At 37.5% G+C, this 19,877-nt stretch overlaps 1 protein-coding gene and 1 pseudogene across 22 annotated transcripts in view; both read left to right on the top strand.

Moving 5' to 3' along the window:
* The window catches only part of HERC4 (HECT and RLD domain containing E3 ubiquitin protein ligase 4), a 153,379-nt gene that overhangs the window by 108,110 nt on the left and 25,392 nt on the right, over window positions 1-19,877 (top strand). For 13 of the 22 annotated variants that reach the window (XM_017016041.3, NM_001278185.2, NM_022079.3 and 10 more), the window contains 5 exons: window positions 372-491; window positions 8,038-8,061; window positions 10,198-10,296; window positions 12,044-12,211; window positions 12,436-12,579. In XM_017016041.3, the coding sequence (XP_016871530.1) occupies window positions 372-491; window positions 8,038-8,061; window positions 10,198-10,296; window positions 12,044-12,211; window positions 12,436-12,579 (555 nt within the window). The remainder of the gene's footprint in view (window positions 1-371; window positions 492-8,037; window positions 8,062-10,197; window positions 10,297-12,043; window positions 12,212-12,435; window positions 12,580-19,877) is intronic. The other 9 variants (NM_001278186.2, XM_047424999.1, NM_015601.4 and 6 more) reach the window with 1 other exon arrangement.
* On the top strand, window positions 5,680-6,489 carry RPS3AP38 (RPS3A pseudogene 38; annotated as a pseudogene).

Here is a 19,877-nt window from a genome sequence, read left to right as displayed (position 1 = left end):
ATTTTAAATTTCTCTGTCTTGGCCAGGCGTGGTGGCTCACGCCTGTAATCCCAACACTTTGGGAGGCCAAGGTGGACAGATCACAAGGTCAGGAGATCGAGACCATCCTGGCTAACACGATGAAACTCCGTCTCTACTAAAAATACAAAAAATTAGCCGGTCATGATGGCGGGTGCTTGTAGTCCCAGCTACTCAGGAGGCTGAGGCAGGAGAATGGCGTGAACCCGGGAGGCAGAGCTTGCAGTGAGCTGAGATTGTGCCACTGCACTCCAGCCTGGTTGACAGAGTGAGACTCCGTCTCAAAAAATAAAAAAAATTTGTCTGTCTTGAGTACTGGTTAAATTTAATGTCAATTACATTTTCTTTTGTAGGTAAATGAGAAAATGGGACAGATTATACAGTATGATAAATTTTATATACATGAAGTACAAGAATTGATAGACATAAGAAATGATTATATCAACTGGGTCCAACAGCAGGCCTATGGAATGGTAGGTTTTCTGTGCAATTTGTGATTTCATTTTTATGTATATGTATCTAATAAAAAAAGAAACAATTGCTTGGTTTTGAAATGAGAAAGTTTTTTCAGAACTTTTATCCAGAACTTACTTTTTAAATAATAACACATTGCAAAGGAGTGCTATATATTTTACAATATTTATATGCAAACATTCTACTCTTTTACCAAAGCCAAACCAAAGAAATGGATTACACTGTAAAACAAAACAAAACAAGACAAAAAAAACCTACAAGTGTGAAATGGATTTTTAACTCTTTTATTTTCCATGAGGTTGCCTCTTATTTCTCCAGTGTTGAAAATACTGGCATTCTTCATACTGGAACTCCTAAGAATGCATTATTGTTGTGAAATTGGTGCTTCAAGACTACCAAAAGAGGACTGGGTGTGGTGGCTCATGCCTGTAATCTTAGCACTTTGGAGCCTGAGGCAGGTGGATTCCCTGAGCTCGGGATTTCAAGACCAGCCTCGGCAACATGACGAAATCCCATCTCTACTAAAAATACAAAAAATTAGCCAAGTGTGGTGGCACATGCCTGTAATCCCAGCTACTCAGAAGGCTGAGGCATGAGAATCACTTGAACCTGGGAGATGGAGGTTGCAGTGAGCCGATTATGTGTTTACTTTTATTTCAGATTTTTAATATAAATGTGGGTGCGTACATCTTTTTATGCAGCTAAGTCTTTAATAACTAGACACTATCCCATTAAAATAGTACCATGGTCTTATAAAACTTGAATTAGGCACATAAAATTTTAATGCAGAAATGGGTAAGCAGTTAGATACAAAATATTTAGGTTTACTACTCTTATTTGCTAGCCATTTGTGTATACTTGAGGCCCACTTTTCTGTACCCAGGTAATTTAATATGTGTGCAGCAGTTATATAATAGAAGGGTGAGTAACTTTTCATTGCTTGCTAGGCACCAGCTGTAAGCTCCTTGTGGATGGGTGCTCTTGTCAGTCAACCAGCACCTCTGACAGTGTCTAGAATATGTCTAGTAAGCACTAAAAAAGTACAGTAGTTTTTGAATGGCAATCTGGTTAGTGCACGCTGTTTTTAGGATACTCCCACCTTCCGGAATCAGGTTGCTTCTAGACATCTTTTCCTTCCCTAGTGTACTTGGGTCTGGACTGGGAGAGACTCATTGACTTTTCTCCTGAGTCACTTTGAGGCTGGGTCAGGTTTATAGCCATTCTATAGATTTAGGTCTATTCATTTGCTTATTCAACAAACAATGAGAATCTGTTATATAACAGGCACTGATTTAGGTATTGGAAATACAGTGGTGAACCAGACAGAGCCTTGTTTCTCATGGAATTCGTAATCTACTGGGCAAGATTGGCAATAGTCAAACAAAGCAAAAAATACCAGCTAATAATATGTATTATTAAAATGAGGGGACTTAGTAAAGATAGGTTTCAGAAAAGACTTATCTAATGAAGTATGAGTACTAATCTGAATGACAAGGAGCAGCCCTTTAAGATCAGGGCAGAGAGAATTTCAAGAACAACGAACATTTGGTAAAATACCTGAGGTGAAAACAAGCTTGACATGATTGAAGGACAGAAAAAAGCCAGCATTAGGCCAGGTGTGGTGGCTCACGCCTGGAATCCCTGCATTTTGGGAGGCCGAGGTGGGCAGATCACGAGGTCAGGAGTTCAAGACCAGCCTGACCAACATAGTGAAACCCCGTCTCTACTAAAAATACAAAAACTTAGCCAGGCATGGTGGTGGGCGCCTGTAATCCCAGCTACTTGGAAGGCTGAGGCAGGAGAATTGCTTGAACCCAGGAGGTGGAGGTTGCAGTGAGCTTAGATTGCACCATTGCACTCCAGCATGGGCGACAGTGTGAGACTCCTTTCAAAAAAAAAAAAGAAAGAAAGAAAGAAAGGAAAACAGCCAGCATGGCTTATGGGAGTGAGGAGGGAACAGAGAAATGGGCAGGGGCCAGATCATAGAGAGTTTAGTAAACTAGGATTAGGAATTTGGATTTTATCTAAAGTGTTAATGATAAACAGGGGAAACTTAATCTGATCTTTTTGAATGATCACTTTGTTGGCTGTGTAGGGAACGGGACAGAAATGAAAGACGGAAATCCATGAGAAAGCTATATTTTAGTAGATTAGGGGAGAGGAAATGATGGGTTTGACTAGGATGATGGTTATTTAGATGGAAGAAGGAAATGGAATATGTCTTGGAGATAAAAGGGAATCTTGGAGACAAAAGGAAAATAAAAATCACTGATGGATTGGATATGAAGTGAGGAAAGGAGAGAAATCCACAAAGATTAAAAAGCAGGTGTGGTAGAGGGAAAACTAGGAGAGTCTTGGAAACCAAAATTTAAAAGTGAAAGAGAGACTGTTGAATGCTGCAGAGGAGGAGGATGAAACCTTAGAATTGACAGTGAATTTGGTTACATGAAGGTAATTGGTAACCTTGATAATACCATTCTTGGGTTGGGATGTTGTAAAGAGAAATTTAGAGGTAAGGAAGCAGTAACAACCATTGGCAATACTTTGACGAAGTTCTGCATTGAAGAGGAGCAAAAAAAAAAAAAAAAAATGGAGTGGTAGCTGGAATCAAGGGATAATTTTTTAAGAAAGAAAATAATTGACCTCAGCAGTTTTGAATAAATATTTCCTTTTTTCTTCATCTCTGACCTAGGTAAAGCTTCTCAAACTCTTCCTTTAGAGAACCTGTGATGGCAGGAGAAATAACATATTTCTTAAGGATTTAACCTTCCCTCAGCAAGACTTGAACTGAGGCTAATTTTCTATCTTTAAATGCAAATTTTGCATTATGGGCATAATAGATATTGCAGTATAAAAGAGATTTAATTTATTTGTCATTGAGGAAAATTGATTCTTCAGGAAATGAACCTTGTTCATACCAAGACTTTGCATATAAACCCTCACACACCAACCAGGGTACCCTAGGTCTTTTAGCAGTGTTTTTGAAAGGATTCAGAACATTTGGAGGGATATGTGGACCCTTTTAAAGAAGAACAATTTCTTAAGAAGCCCAGTGTTCACTTACATATTATATAAATATATACACACATTAAACTAGTTCTAAACTCTTGGTGTTTAGCTCTTAAAAGAACTCTAAGACCACAGCAAATTTATAATTATAAATAACATTACAGTCCAGGTGCGGAGGCTCACGTCCCAGCACTTTGGGAGGCCGAGGTGGGCAGATCACCTGAGGTCAGAAGTTCTAGACCAGTCTGGCCAATATGGCGAAACCCCGTCTCTACTAAAAATACAAAAATTAGCCAAGCATCGTGGCGGGCACCTGTAATCCCAGCTACTTAGGAGGCTGAGGCAGGAGAATGGCTTGAACCCGGGAGGTGGAGGTTGCAATGAGTTGAGATCACGCCACTGCACTCCAGCCTGGGCAACAGAGTGAGACTCCATCTCAAAAAATAAATAAATAGTAAATAACATTACAAATTGGCAAATTAAGTTAATTTATTATGGAGAATGTTGTAATGATGAAGAATTCTAACTCACAACATAAATATGTATGATGAGAAAGCAGAGTAACTTTTATGAGAGTGCCTGGATTCAAATCCCACCTCAGCATATATTCAGTTCTGTCCTTGGGAAAATTACTTAATTTCTCTGAGATTTCATTTTGTTTTCTGTAAATTAGGATATTAGTACCTACCTTAAAAAGTTTTGAGAAGATTAATTTATATGATCCCTGTGAAGGACTTAGAGTAATTTCTGGCACACAGTTAAGTCTTTATAAAATGGTGATTATTGTTGCTGGCTACCTTGACACAGGCTACAAATTTGGCAGTAGCTTTTATTCTGACGTGTCTAATAACTCTGTTCTCTTGCTGCCTTTCTCTATGTGCACTATAATGAAACATTTTCTAAGAGCATTTTCTAGGTACTATTCTCAGTTTCCTTATCCTCCTTTAACTTTGCTTTTAAATTGTTTGTAAAAATACCTTATTGGTTACTACCAAACTCTTTGCTATTTTTTCTTCCCTTTCTGATACTTTTAGTTAATTATCTTTATCTGGTTTTCCCTTTGGTGCCTCTCTCTCTTAGAAAAATGATTATACCTAATGTCTAATCATCTCTCTTTTTCTGAAGTTTTTCACGTCCTATTATTTTTCATATTCTTGCCAGTTCACATCTTTCTGTCCCAATTTTTAGTGTAACCAAATTATATTCTGCTTAGTATGGGTTAGTCGCACTATAAATTCTAACATTATCTTACTGACTTCCCCAGTGTATAATGATATGTATAACATCTATATCTACTTACATGTAGTAGTAAAAAAGATAATGCATACATACTAATATTTCATTGTTTAGCTAAGGAGAAAATCGATCTCCCATACTATAAACTCCCTTGGTATATAGTATAGTTATCAAGCAGGCCATAGATAAATTTTTATAGGCTTTTTTTTTTTTGCTTATTTAAACTTTCTTAGTAGTAATAACACTTTTTAAATGTCCTACAAGAGGAATATTGGTGATATGAAGGCTGTGCATATGTGAGGATAAGGGTATATTGGAAGTCTCTGCACCTTACTTTCAATTTTGCTGTGAATCTAAAGCTGCTTTAAAATAATAAAGTTCTTTTTTCAAAAAAAGTCCCACAAGGTATACTATAAAAGGATTTCAGATGTTCCTTTTATATTGCCTTCTAGCTAAACAGAGTGTAATCTGAAAGGTTTTTTTGCAGAACAGTCTCTAAAGACTTTCATCTTGTTTACACTGCCAGTTGGAGCATTTATGTGGTAATAACTTGGTACTGTGAATTTTTTTAAAGAAATTCTTGTCAATAATATTCTTCCTCTGAATAGGGTTTGCATAGAGTGATGTTTTGCTTATGCTTACACTGCTTTGGCTTTACTTAATATAGTGAGAGAACCCAAAGTCTTTGCTAATATCTTAAATCCTCCAATAATATCGCTGGTGACACGTGGGAACTCAGTCAACTACAAAGTTAAAGAGAACAGTTTACACAAGACTGCCCTCACTTCTGATACCAATTGTGAGTTTGGGGAGGGTCCCCCAAACTACCCTTAGGTTTGATAATTTGCTACGAGGCCTCCCAGAACTCACTGAAAATTGTTACACTGATGATTAGGGTTTATTACAGGGAAAGGATAATAGGTTAAAATCAGCCAAGGGTCTTTTTGACTCTCTGAGCAGCACCATGACATTTGGCAAGAACAAGCACCTTATGAAAGGTGACAAATAGGGAGCAAAGAAGTGGTTAATCTACTTTCTAAAAAAGATAGATATGATATGAAAGCACGTGCTGTGTTCAGTATAAGAAATATTGGAGAGAAACACTAGTCACCAGGACTCAAGGAACCAAAATTATATCTGATGGCCTCAAGTGTTGTGTATATTTGAAGTGAACCTTTCTGATCTGCAGAATGATGAAATTGCATTTTAAAAATTCAAGCTGACTACTGAGGATGTTGAGGCGCTAAACGACCTAACTTCCATTGCATGGATCTTACCTGTGACAAAATGAGTTCCATGGCCAAAAACTGGTAGATCATGAAAGAAGCTCATGTTAATGTCAAGACCACTAATGGTTATTTGCTTCATCTGTTCTGTGTTGGTTTTACTAAGAAACGCAATGGTCAGGTACAGAAGACCTCTTACTCTCAGCACCAACAGGTCCGCCAAATCCGCAAGAAAGTGATGAAAATCATGATCCAAGAGGTTCAGACAAGTGACTTGAAAGAAGTGGTCAATAAACATTGGAAAAGATAAAGAAAAGGCTTGCCAGTCTATTTATCCTCTCCATGCTTGTCCTTGTTAGAAAAGTAAAAATGCTGAAGATGCCCAAGTTTGAACTGGGAAAACCAGGGAGCTTCATGGTGAAGGTAGTAGTTCTAGAAAGGCTACTGGGGATGTGACAGGTGCTAAGGTTATATGAGCTGATGGATGTGGACCACAAATCCAAGAATGTGTTTAAAATTTACGCTTTTGGCTGGGTGCGGTGGCTGACGCCTGTAATCCCAGCACTTTGGGAGGCTGAGGTGGGCAGATCACGAGGTCAGGAGTTCGAAACCAGCCTAACCAACATGGAGAAACCCCATCTCTACTAAAAATACAAAATTAGCTAGGCGTGGTGGCACATGCCTATAATCCCAGCTACTCGGGAGGCTGAGGCAGGAGAATCGCTTGAACCCAGGAGGCAGAGGTTGCGGTGAGACGAGATTGCACCATTGCACTCCAGCCTGGGCAACAAGATCGAAGCTCCGTCTCAAAAAAAAAAATTTTAGGCTTTTAATAGTGACAAATAGAAAGTTCCATCTGAGAACAAAAATCAGCCAAGGGAAGAAACACACAGGGCAGAGTCTGGGAAAGATAACCAGAGGCAGAGCTTCTGTTGTCCTTTCCATGTAGAGTCATGGATGAATTACTTTCCTGGCATAGATGTGTAACAATACAGAGTATTTCTAGCCAAAGAAGCTCACCAGAACCCTGGTGCCCAGAGTTTTTACTGGGGTTCAATCACATCCTGCTCCCGTAGTGACCTCTAGTTCCCAGCTCTTCTGGAAGCAGAACTGACAGCACATGGCCCAAGCCCCTATCATAAGTCACATTGTCCAGTGGCTAAAGCGCCAGGCAAACAAAGACACTCCTATCAGGCATGATATTGCACAGGTCTATAGGTCACCTCCTAGTAACCCAGGGCAATGCCCTCTCTTCTGGGGTAAAATTAATTCCTCACAACACAAGGCACCGTCCACAAATTTAGTAACATATTTCTGAAGATTCTGGTGCTTTACACGAGTCTGTGCTCTGAGCATATGTGGAAACTTTCTACAAGAAAATGTACATTTCTGTTCAATAAAGTGGTAAGCTTTCATTATAATTTCCACTATTACTGCCTTAATAAATATATCTTTCTCTCTTCATTTCTTTTTGCTTACCAACCCTTTTTCCCTGTCCTGTACTTTCTATTTTAAATTAATTCAGTTTTAAAGAATGCTTAATGTAAGATACCTTATGTTTTACTGTTTTTTTTTCTGTCAAATAAAAACAATTTATGGCTTATTTTTTCTTACTTTGTGTCCATATGGCATTTTAATCTACTAAACACTGTCAGACATTTTGCTGAGATTTTAAAGTCTTAAAGTCTGAGGAATGTTTTTTCCATTTTTTTTAAGTAGAAAAACTGAGCCATAAATTTTTTTTTTTAAGACCAAGCCAGGCATAGGATTAGTTTTCTTATTCTGCCTAAATTCTGCAAATGGGGGTGTTTAATTGCTGAAAACAAATTTCATTATGTTCAAGCCTCAATCATTTTATGATCACAAGGTACCTGAAACAAAGATCTTACATTAGTAGATATATAAGATGCTTGTGTAGGGGGTGTATTTGATTGTAGATGTATTTTCTACCTCATTACTTCAATATTCTGCTGTAGCAAAATATATGAAATGCTACCTTGAATAGAAATAGTTAAATTTGGACACTAATATTGCTCTTTCCTCGTTATTGTTATATTCTGCACTGCTGTCTTAGGATGTCAACCATGGATTAACTGAGGTAAGTTTGGTGTAATAAAGCTCATGTTTAGAGTAAAATATACTCCATTTTCTCCTGAGTAATAGAAGAGCCAAAGATTCGTTTTTTTGGTGTGGTTAAAAAATGTAAATAAATAGATATATATGTATCATTTTTTAAAATACAGTCTGTAGAGATTATCTTGTATAACATTTCAGAAGTTTTCTGAAGAAAATGAAATTCTGTTAACATTACACCTATATGATGCCTCAACAATATTTGCTTTAGAATAGTTTCTGTCCTCCTCAAGTCTTCCAGTATAAAATGTAATGTGTCCTCAGAATATAAAAAAGCAAACTTTTATTTTAAAATTTAGCAAATGCCTACCTAATGTGGCTGAAAACATTTTATATTAGAGAAGTAAAACAAACTTCATTTTTAAAATTGATTAATTGATACTCAGAATGGTCACAAAGTTAAACTTTTTGTATGATTATCTTTCTCACTTCTAATATATAAAGTTCTAGCACTTTGGTTTAAGTAATCAACAACCCTAGACTACCCTTTTAACACTTGGGAACATTATAATACTTTCTTTATCCGTTATAGATGTCAGGTTTTGCTTTGATTTGCATTTTGTTGGTTGCTATGTTTTTCCCAGCACTTGAACCAATGAAGCATTTTGAGTTAGCTTTAAATTATAGCTCTAATATTGTTTGCTTCCTCATTGTCAAATAGAATTAGCACATAAAATTATGAAAACATAGAGTTTTGAAGCCAAAGGGTGCTTTGGAGATATCTAAATCTTTTTGAATTTCAGAGAAGTAAAATTAGTTTTTATGATCATTAGCTAGGCAGTGCCACAAATATAGGATGGAGGTAAACCTTGTCACATGAAAAATACTGAAGAGTGAATGTTTAGAATGTAATAAAATACAATTTAGGGAGAGCATGATTAGGACTTAAAATATTTAAACTACGTACACTTCCCAGCAGGGGCAAAGCAAAGACTAAATGATGCATAGTGATATATAGAAATGCAGATTCAGGCTGGGCACAGTGGCTCACGCCTGTAATCCCAGCACTTTGGGAGGCCGAGGTGGGCGGATCATGAGGTCAGGAGTTCAAGACTAGCCTGGCCAACCTAGTGAAACCCCATCTCTACTAAAAATACAAAAAATTAGCCGGGTGTGGTGACAGGCACCTGTAATCCCAGCTACTCGGGAGGCTGAGGCAGGAGAATCGCTTGAACCCCAGAGGCGAAGGTTGCCGTGAGCCTAGATCGCACCATTGCACTCCAGCCCCGGCATCAGTGCAAGACTCTGTATGGGGGAAAAAAAAATGCAGATTCAGACTATAAAGAACTGTCTAATCACTAAGAAGTGGATTGTTTTAGGGTGTATTAATTCTTCATTAGAAGTCTCATAGCAGGGGCTCTGAGTCAGGGCAGGCACAAAGATATTGTTTTACTGGGTAGATGGTAGAAGTAGGTCGTCCTCCAACTACAAGAATGTGTGACTGGCAATTCATAACTCTTTATATTTTACTGCACTATTAAAATACTTAGCAATCAATATATTACCTGCCAGGATAAGTAATTGTCTATAAAGTGTCTAATGTCTAATAATGATAATAATAGATCAGTTCTCGTAACTTTAAAGGCTAACAGAATAGTAATACTAATGGTACTTTTTTGTATATTAAGTAAATGAAGAGATTATTGGACTCATAATAATTTTGATACCCTAATGACATTATACTCAATATCTGTTAAATGAAGGAATAGACAGATTACTTATCATTAGCCTCAGTTGCTGCAGTTGCCCTAACATGTAAGAATTGGCTATCGCATTTAACATAGGAGCCCCCAATTTTAGAACAAATTTGCAACCTCATTCACTGAGATTTGCAATTAACATATGCTAAGCAAAAGATACTTGCAGTATATGATTGTATAGACTCTCAAGTATACAGTCGCCCCCTAAAATTGGGAATTGGGTTCATTCCAATGCCTCATTTAATTTTTAATAATTCTGTAAGCAGCATGTTTTATTTGTAATTCCAGAACCACATGAGTGAATAAACAAAGAATGTAGTCCACTTTATAAGAAATGTCAGCATCCACAGTAAGTATATCACAAATCAACTTGTACTAATAAGTTAATTTTTTATTTCCAGTTGGCAGATATCCCTGTTACAATCTGTACATATCCATTTGTATTTGATGCCCAAGCAAAAACTACTCTGTTACAGACCGATGCAGTCTTACAGATGCAGGTAAAATATTATTTGAGAGGGTTTTTTTTTTTAATTGTTTCTTTGATGTTTCTGGACAGTAAATATTTGAAATTTTCCTAGGATCAGTAATGAAGGTACACAAAGTACTTTGGGTAGCTATAAAGAAGACTGCTGCATGTGATATGTATATTCTTATGAGAACATTTATAAAAAAAGGTTGCAGTGAAAATGGAATAACTTAACCTATAATCATTTTATATATTAAAAATTGTATAAGCCTCTTTCATTACAGAAATATTCAATCTTTATAAACCGTTTTACTAGTTTACTTGATAAGATGTTGGTTTGTTTCAAAATCTTGTTTCATTATATGTCCCCTTTTTATATGCTTGGTAAGAGATGGAAGTCACTAGAGGTGAGAGATGTTAAAAGTAGGAAGCATTTGATCTCGTTAGGAAGAAGATGTGAAATTTCCTTGAAGAAAGTTTCAATAATAAGGTATTAAACATGTTCCTGGGGTTGGTCACCATTATCTCCTATTCCTCTTTCTTTTCCCCTTCCTATCACCCTTTCCCATCCATTTTATGTTGAGAGTTCTTTCATTTATAGAGAGGATTTTTTAAACTAATTCATATTATGACTTTAAAGGGTTACAGTAAGTTTGCTTTATCATTTGATCCTGTAAATAAAAAAGATTTTGAGCTGCTTCCTCTGGTATAGAATATCTGACTATACCAACTAAGGATTAAGGAAAGGATGAAAAGAAAGCTTGAATATTTAATAGTCTAAAAATATTTTAAAAAATTAAAAACCTTCAAATCTTGGTAACCATTTTTATTCTGTTCAAATAAATGCATTTGGTATTCTAAATATTTTTGTAGTGTTCTATACTAACAGCTAGTAAGCCAATTTTTTGGAGGTCTTTGTTAAAACGATAAGTTAATAACTTGGTGATTTTACCATGGGATATTCCATTTTAGAACAAGAACTCAGGGAGAACCATAATAAAAGAACAAAAGTTTTAAATGGTAAAAGTCAAATCCTTGGTTCGTGAGCACATACCATGATCACTTAGTTAAGTGAATTTGTGTAATGCTTCCTTAGCCAGATCATTCCTTATTCTTTGTTTTTTATTTTTTATTTTTGAGACGGAGTTTCGCTCTTGTCGCCCAGGCTGTAGTGCAGTGGTACAGTCTCAGCTCACTGGAACCTCTGCCTTCCAGGTTCAAGTGATTCTCCTGCCTCAGCCTCCTGAGTAGCTGGGATTACAGGCACACACCACCACGCCCTGCTAATTTTGCATTTTTAGTAGAGACAGGATTTCACCATGTTGGCCAGGCTGGTCTTGAACTCCTGACCTCAAGTAATCTGCCCTCATTGGCCTCCCGAAGTGCTGGGATTACAGGCGTGAGCCACTGCGCCCAGCCTGTTCCTTATACTCTTTAAAGGTTTGTTTTTGCTCCTCCCTCTTTACCCTCCCCTCCAGTGAATGTTTTTTAGAAAAACCAATGCTCAGATTTATCAGTATTACTACCGTTCTGTACTGGCTTACTCTAATGGTGTTATGAGTTATACATTATACATTAGTATAAAAACATTCAAAAGGGTACTCTTTATGCTCAGTTTATTAAGTTTTATGCTGTACGGGATACTGTTAGGTGCTATGTTAATTCAGTAGCATAGGAATTATAGAATACCTGTAACTAATAGGTAGAGGTTAGCTTGTTTCAGTCACAGTAGCTTTATTGTAGCATTGCTGTTAAAATGTTAATCTTTTGTTTTCCAGATGGCTATTGATCAGGCCCACAGGCAGAATGTCTCCTCTCTTTTTCTCCCAGTGATTGAATCTGTGAATCCCTGCTTAATTCTAGTGGTGCGTAGAGAAAATATTGTAGGAGATGCAATGGAAGTCCTTAGGAAAACAAAGAACATAGATTACAAGAAGCCACTCAAGGTAATTTGACATTTTCTGTGGTATAATTGGGACTTTTATTCAGAAGCTATGTTTAAAATTTTCCTATTTGTTTTTAGTGAATCTTTTAAACTTAATAAATAAAATTATATTTATTTTAAACTATTAATTGTAGAGTATTAGTAATAAATAACATGTTCTAGGGTCTCCAGAATGTACTTTCATTTCTTTACAGTCTATTTGGTGTTTGCATTGTGCTATTTTAGGTTATATTTGTTGGAGAAGATGCTGTGGATGCAGGAGGGGTGCGCAAAGAATTTTTCTTGCTCATCATGAGGGAATTATTGGATCCTAAATACGGCATGTTTAGGTATTATGAAGATTCCAGGCTCATTTGGTTTTCTGATAAGGTAAAATGTCCAACCATCTAAATTACTTCTGTGTATATACCCATGTATTTATACCTGTATGTATCAAGTTAATTCAGTAAATAAGGAATTACTACTGGATCCCTAACATATAAGATCTGCTTTATTACAATTTGAGAAATTATAAACTTTGGACTTGGAGTTGTCAAAATACATTTGATGCTTACCACACATTTTAAATTAACAAAATAAATTAAGAGATGGTTAGCCAGAAAATAATGTTGACTATTCCTTCTGCTGATTTCAATTTGAGGATTGAATAATAATCACCAGATTAACTTTTCTGTTGGGAAAAATTAATTTATCATTAGGGATCATTGATTTATCTACCTTGTCATTTAGAGCAGGTCAGCAGACTATAGCCCATTAATCTCAAAGAAAAAAAAAGTCACACCCACTCTTTTACCTATTGTCCAAGGCTACTTTCATGCTACAATAGCAGCGGCAGAGTTTAAGTAATTACAACAGTGACCTTATGTCCAGGAAACCCCAAAATATTTGCCATCTGGTTCTTTATAGAAAGTTTGCTGACCCAATTTAGTGATCATAAGTGAAAAGGATGGATCAGTTTAGTAGAACTCCTGACTTGAAAGAAATTTAGATAGAATAGCTATTGGTTGTAAAAACCTCAATGTAATATTTAATCATTCTGCCTGGAGGTTGGCTGTCTTGTGTAATGTTAGCAGCTTAGTGCCTAGACTCTAATTCATCAGGGGTTGCAAAATGGTGTGCTACTCTAATATTTCTTTTTCATTTATTAGCTTGGATACTTCTGTATAGAGAAATTTCCTCACGTTTTCTGATTCCTTAGTAGTGCAATTCATAGGAAAGGATTCTATTTAGTTACCAATTTTTCAAAAGAATGAATTGGTTCATTAGCATAGTCCACTGGTAATAATTCATTTTTTGTGTTTTGCTTTCAAGTATCATTAGGTATTCATAGGTTTAAACATACTTGATGTTTTTCAATTCACTGCAGTTATTGTCTTCATTGATGCTCATATTGTCCCATCTTTGTTCAAGGAGAGCTCTTAAGGTTGGTGCCCAAGTCCTTTTGAAACAACCTATATACTTTTTGGTACCTTCCTTGCTACCTTGTGTACTTACTATGACAGAATGTTCCAGACTTATCTTACACATTTACTGCCTAACAGTACCAACATTACCACCAATATTATGATTACTAAAATGTTTTAAATTGTTTTTCAGTTCTTTTTGTACAAAGAGTATACCCTAATATAGATAGACAGCCAGATAATATAGTTTTGATATAATTTAAAATTGTTATACTCTATTGTTATACCACCAAGTGAATACTCATTTAAGCTAACTTATTTTTAGGGATTGCTTGTTCAAATTCAATTTAGTTTTACAATAATATAAAATGCCTACATAGTTCCAAAGTCAAATCTACAAAATAAGATGTGTTAAAAGAAGTCAAGCTCCACCTTGTTTTCCCCCTCTTCCTATGGGTGATCTTTTGAAAATGTATGGGCTATCCTCCTTTAAATATATATATATATGTAGATAGCAATATATTACATACCAAAGTAATTTTCCTGGTTTTGACCATGGCTATGTAAGCTGTTACCACTGGAGAAAACTGAGTGAAGGGTACATGGGAGTTCTTTATATTATTTGTGCAATTTAGGTGTCTTTTTTTTTTTCTTTTTTTTTGAGACTGAGTCTCCCTCTGTCGCCCAGGCTGGAGTACAGTGGCGCACTCTCGGCTCACTGCAAGCTCTGCCTCCCAGGTTCATGCCATTCTCCTGCCTCAGCCTCCCGAGTAGCTGGGACTACAGGCGCCTGCCACCATGCCCGGCTAATTTTTTTTATATTTTTAGTAGAGACGGGGTTTCACCGTGTTAGCCAGGATTGTCTCGATCTCCTGACCTTGTGATCCACCTGCCTTGGCCTTCCAAAGTGCTGGGATTACAGGTGTGAGCCACCGCGCCCGGCCTCCAATTTATGAGTCTTTAAGATATTTTAAAATAAGTATTTTTTTGGCCGGGCCCAGTGGCTCACACCTCTAATCCCAGCTCTTTGGGAGGCCAAGGTGGAGGTCAGGAGTCCAAGACCAGTCTAGCCAACATGATGAAACCCTGTCTCTACTAAAAATACAAAAATTAGCTGGGCGTGGTGGTACATGCCTGTAATCCCAGCTACTCGGAAAGCTGAGGCAGGAGAATCGCTTGAACCCAATAGACGGAGGTTGCAGTGAGCCAAGGTCGCGCCACTGCACTCCAGCCTGGTGACAAAACGAGACTCTCTTTAGTCATGTTTAGCTGTTTGGATAGAGGTAAGGATAAGAGCAACAGTTGATTTTAATCACGTTTTGGTTTTAACAAGTGAATGTAACACAGAAGGGAGTAAAAGGCAAGGGAGTTATTATAGTGAGGGATTATGGAATTTCAGCTTTGTGTGGACTTGGTTTGGACAAATAAATAAATTGTGACGGTGGAATTGTATTGAGGGGCTGAGATAAGAAGTCAGAGGTAATGGTTAGTTATGGAATGCTTGAAATTGAGATTTGGAGGGTTGTAGTTGAATGTAAGATATAACCATGGGTATGGGCATTGAGGTGTGGTGGAGAACAAGATTGTTGGAAACAGACAGGTCCAGAAACTGAGAGGCTAGTGTGTTGTATGCATTTTTTTTTGTCTGGATATTGAAGTTGCCAAAAACGATGGCAGAAATAGTGGTAGAGAAAGAAAGCATAAGATAGTGCCAAAGTTTGTGAATGAAGGAATTGTGGAAGGTTTTTTATACAACTGCCCAAGGAACAGTTGCAGGGAATATGGTCAGTTGGCCCGTGTTTCAGAGGAGTTGGAAATTTTAGGATGGCAAATGGAAAGAAGTCTAGAAACACAGAAGAGCAAGAGCAAGGAGACCTACCTTAGCTCTAGACGCAATCATATGAAGGATTGAAAAGTGACACCATTTGTGAGAGCTGCAGAGGAAATGGTGTCCTCAGGAGACAGTCTTGTTTCCTTAGACAAAAAGGGGAAAAAATTTGGAGTTTAGGATACAAGCAGTTTTCCAAATGGTAGATTGTGAGTTCCAGAACAAACAGTGAAAGGGTTTGGTGGAGCAAGGACAGTCATAAAATTGTGTCAGACTTGAGGGCATCCCACAATGCCATATGGATGTGGGTTTAGGGATAACCTATGAGTTTCGAGGCTTTGTATTTGTTCTGTAAACAGGCATATAAGACATGATGGAGTTAGTCCTAATGGCCTCTGAGGTAAGTGGACAATCTGCTCAAATCCTAGCCTCCTTCCTGGCACTGGTCTCTTTATAAATAGGGAAGTTTGTAGTGGTGTAGCAGGTAGAATTTGAGAGGGCATATGAGGTTGGGGGCTGTGCTGCTAGAAACACAGAGTTCTGTCTGCCCTTTAGTCAGTTTTAAAGAGATAATGTTTTGAGACAAAGGGAGGGGCAGTTGTAATAAGCTTTATCATGAATCTCTTTGGGACCTTTCAAGTTCTATCTCACCTTGGCTGGTGAGAGCCCCTTGGAGCCGGCTCTACTCTTTGGTGTACTTCTGACATATCCCCATTATTCTTCAAGCATTTCCTTACATTTGGTACGGTAAACATTCCAGGTTTATCTTGTGTTTTCTCCACCCCAGCCATGGCATTAGCATTTTTCTTAAGAGCCGTGTCTTCTTTAAGTGGAAAATGGTATTTAGAAATCAAGCTCTGGGTGCTAAGTGTAGTACTTCTTGCTTCCGGAGAGTCAGTAGTTCTACTGGGTTCTTTCAGCTGATAGAAATAGGATCTGTATGTGTGTATACACACATGCATCCATAGACTTATCTATATTTAGAGCTGTATATATGTTGAAGACCGTGAAATCAAACTGATACTTCTAATTCTATCCAAACACCAAAGAATTTACTCTAGCCTTCTTCCTTTCCATATTATGTATATAACTTTCATCATCAATGAGAAACCTTACTGCCATAATCTTTAAGATATTTACTTAAATCTCCCCTGTAGGGCTGGGTGTGGTGGCTCATGCCTGTAATCCCAGCACTTTGGGAGGCCGAGGTGGTTGGATCACCTGAGGTCAGGAGTTCAAAACCAGCCTGGCCAACATGGTGAAACCCTGTCTCTACTAAAAATACAAAAATTAGCTGGGCATGGTGGAATGCATCTGTAATCCTAGCTACTTAGGAGGCTGAGGCAGGAGAATCACTTGAACCTGGATGGCGGAGGTTGCAGTGAGCCGAGATCATGCCACTGCACTCCAGCCTGGGGACAGAGCAAGACTGTGTCTCAAAAAAAAAAAAATCTCCCCTGTATGTATCCATGGAGTCTTCAGGCTGCACTGGTCAAAAGCTCAACCTCAGACATACTGGACCACCCTCTCAGAGAAGGTATAATAGTAGGATGTTACCTGTGGATTTTTCCCAAATTCCCTTTATGGTGTTAAGGAAATTCCCTTCTGTCCCTAGTTTGTTCAGCATTTTTATCATAAAAGAATATTGGAGATACTCTTTTGTGTAATGGTTTTCCTTTTTTTTTGTTTTTTGTTTTGTTTTTTGTTTTTTTGATTGATGGAGTCTTGCTCTATCCTCCAGGCTGGAGTGCAGTGGCACAATCTCAGCTTACTGCAAACTCCACCTTCCAGGTTCAAGCGATTCTCTTGCCTCAGCCTCCCAAGTAGCTGAGATTACAGGTGTGCGCCACCATACCTGGCTAGTTTTTTATATTGTTGGTAGAGACGAGGTTTCACCATGTTGGCCAGGCTGGTCTCAAACTACTGACCTCAAGTGATCCACCTGCCTCAGCCACTCAAAGTGCTGGCGTGAGCCACCGCGCCCAGCTATGTGATGCTTTTTTACATTAGTAGAGATTACCATGTGGTTTGTTTCATTCTGTTAATATGGTACATTATGCTGGTTGATTTTCTTATGTTGAATCACCCTTGCATTCCTGGGGTAAATCCCACTTGGTAATAGTGTATAATCCTTTTAATAGGCTACTTGATTGAGGTTGCTATTATTTTGTTGACAATTTTCACATCTATAGTCATAAGGGATATTGGTTTGTAGGGTTGGATTTTTGTTTGTTACTGTTTTTTTGTTTTGGGGTGCGTGTGCAAGGTCCTTTTCTGGTATTTTGATAGTGATGATCTCATAGAATGATTTAGGAAATATTCCCTCTGCTGTGATCTTTTGGAAGAGTTTGAGAATTGGTGTTAATTCTCCTTTAAATGTTTGGTAGAATCTGATCCTTGGCTTTTCTTTGTTGGAAGATTTTTATTATTTTTATTTTTTATTTTTTTTGAGACAGAGTCTCACTTTGTCACCCCAGCTGGAGTGCAGTGGCACGATCTCAGCTCACTGCAACCTCCGCCTCCTGGGTTCAAGCGATTCTCCTGCCTCAGCCTCCCAAGTAGCTGGGACTACAGGTGCATGCCACCATGCCTGGCTTAGTTTTTGTATTTTTTGTATTTTTATTTTATTTTATTTTATTTTTTAGTAGAAACGGGGTTTCACTGTGTTAGCCAGGATGATCTCGATTTCCTGACCTTGTGATCCATCCTCCTCGGCCTCCCAAAGTGCTGGGATTACAGGCGTGAGCCACCGCGCCTGGCCAACTTTTAATTCTTTTTAAAAATTGTATTTATTTATTTATTTTGAGGGTGTGAGATAGAGTCTTGCTCTGTCACCCAGGCTGGAATGCAGTGGCACAGTCTCGGCTCACTGCAACCTCTGCCTCCCATGTTCAAGCCATTCTTGTGCCTCAGCCTCCCAAGTAGCTGGGACTATAGGTGCACCTCACCATGCCCAGCTAGTTTTTGTATTTTTAGTAAAGACAGTGTTTTGGCATGTTGGCCAGGCTGGTCTTGAACTCCTGACCTCAGGTTATTCCCCTACCTCAGCCTCCCAAAGTGCTGGGATTACAGGTGTGAGCCACCATGCCTGGCCTACTTTTAGTTCTTTAGGGAATCTCCACACTGTTTTCCATAGTGGTTGTACTAGTTTACCTTCCCACCAACAGTGTAGAGTGTTCCCTTTTCACCACATCCACGCCAACATCTACTGTTTTTTTATTTTTTTATTATGGCTATCCTTGTGGGAGTAAGGTGGTATTGCATTGTGGTTTTGATTTGCATTTCCCTGATCATTAGTGATATTGAGCAGTTTTTCTTTTTTTTTCTTTTTGCCATTTGTATATCTACTTTTGAGAATTGTCTATTCATGTCCTTAGCCCACTTTTTGATGGGATTGTTTTTTTCTTGCTGAATAATTATCTGAGTTCCTTGTAGATTCTGGATTGTGTATTATTTTTCTATTCTCTAATACATTTATCACTGCTTTAATATTTAGTTTTCTCCATCTGCTAGCTTTGGGTATAGTTTGTTCTTAGTTCCTTAGGATATAAACTTAGGTTATTGACTTGAGATCATTCCCTTTTTTTTAGTTTAAGTGTTTACAACTATTAGTTTCCCTCTGAACACTATTTTTGCATCCTATAAGTTGTAGTATGCTGTGTTTTCATTAGTCTCTTAAGTATTTTCTAATTTCCCTTGTGATTTCTTCTTTGATCTTTTGGTTGTTTAAGAGTGTATTGTTTAGACTGGGCATGGTGGCTCATGCCTGTAATCCCACCACTTTGGGAGGCCAAGGTGGGCAGATCACCAGGTCAGGAATTCGAGACCAGCCTGGCCAACATGGTGAAACCCCGTCTCTGCTAAAAATACAAAAAAAAAAAAAAAAAAAAAAAGAGTGTATTGTTTAATTTCCATATGTTTGTGAATTTTCCAGATTTCCTTTTGTTATTTCTAGTTTCATTCCATTATGATATGAGAAGATAATTTTTTATGATTTTAGTCTTTTTAAAATTTATTGAAAGTTTTGTGACCTAACATATGGTCTATCCTAGAAGATGTTCCATGTACACTTAAAAAGAATGTTTATTCTACTTTTATTGGATAGAGTATTCTATATATGTCTGATAGGTCTTATTGGTTTATAATGTAGTTCAGGTTCTCTATTTCCTTATTGATCTTTGGATTGTTGTATACATTAATGATAGTGGGATATTAAAGCTACCAGTTATTATCTTAGAACTGTCTATACCTCGCTTTGATTCTGTCAGCTTTTGCCTTATATATTTTGGAGCTGTGTTGTTAGGTTCATAACTATTTGTAATTGTTGTATCTTCTTGATGAATTGACCCTGTTATCAATATTTGTCTCATATCAATTTTGCATCATATTAGTCTGTTTTGTCTTAGTATAGTTTCTCTAGCTCTCTTTTGTTACTA

The sequence above is a fragment of the Homo sapiens genome, chromosome 10 (genome assembly GCF_000001405.40).
Source record: "Homo sapiens chromosome 10, GRCh38.p14 Primary Assembly".
Taxonomy (NCBI): domain Eukaryota; kingdom Metazoa; phylum Chordata; class Mammalia; order Primates; family Hominidae; genus Homo; species Homo sapiens.
The sequence above is the reverse complement of the archived record's forward strand: the minus strand, read 5'-3'. Positions and strand labels throughout refer to the sequence as shown.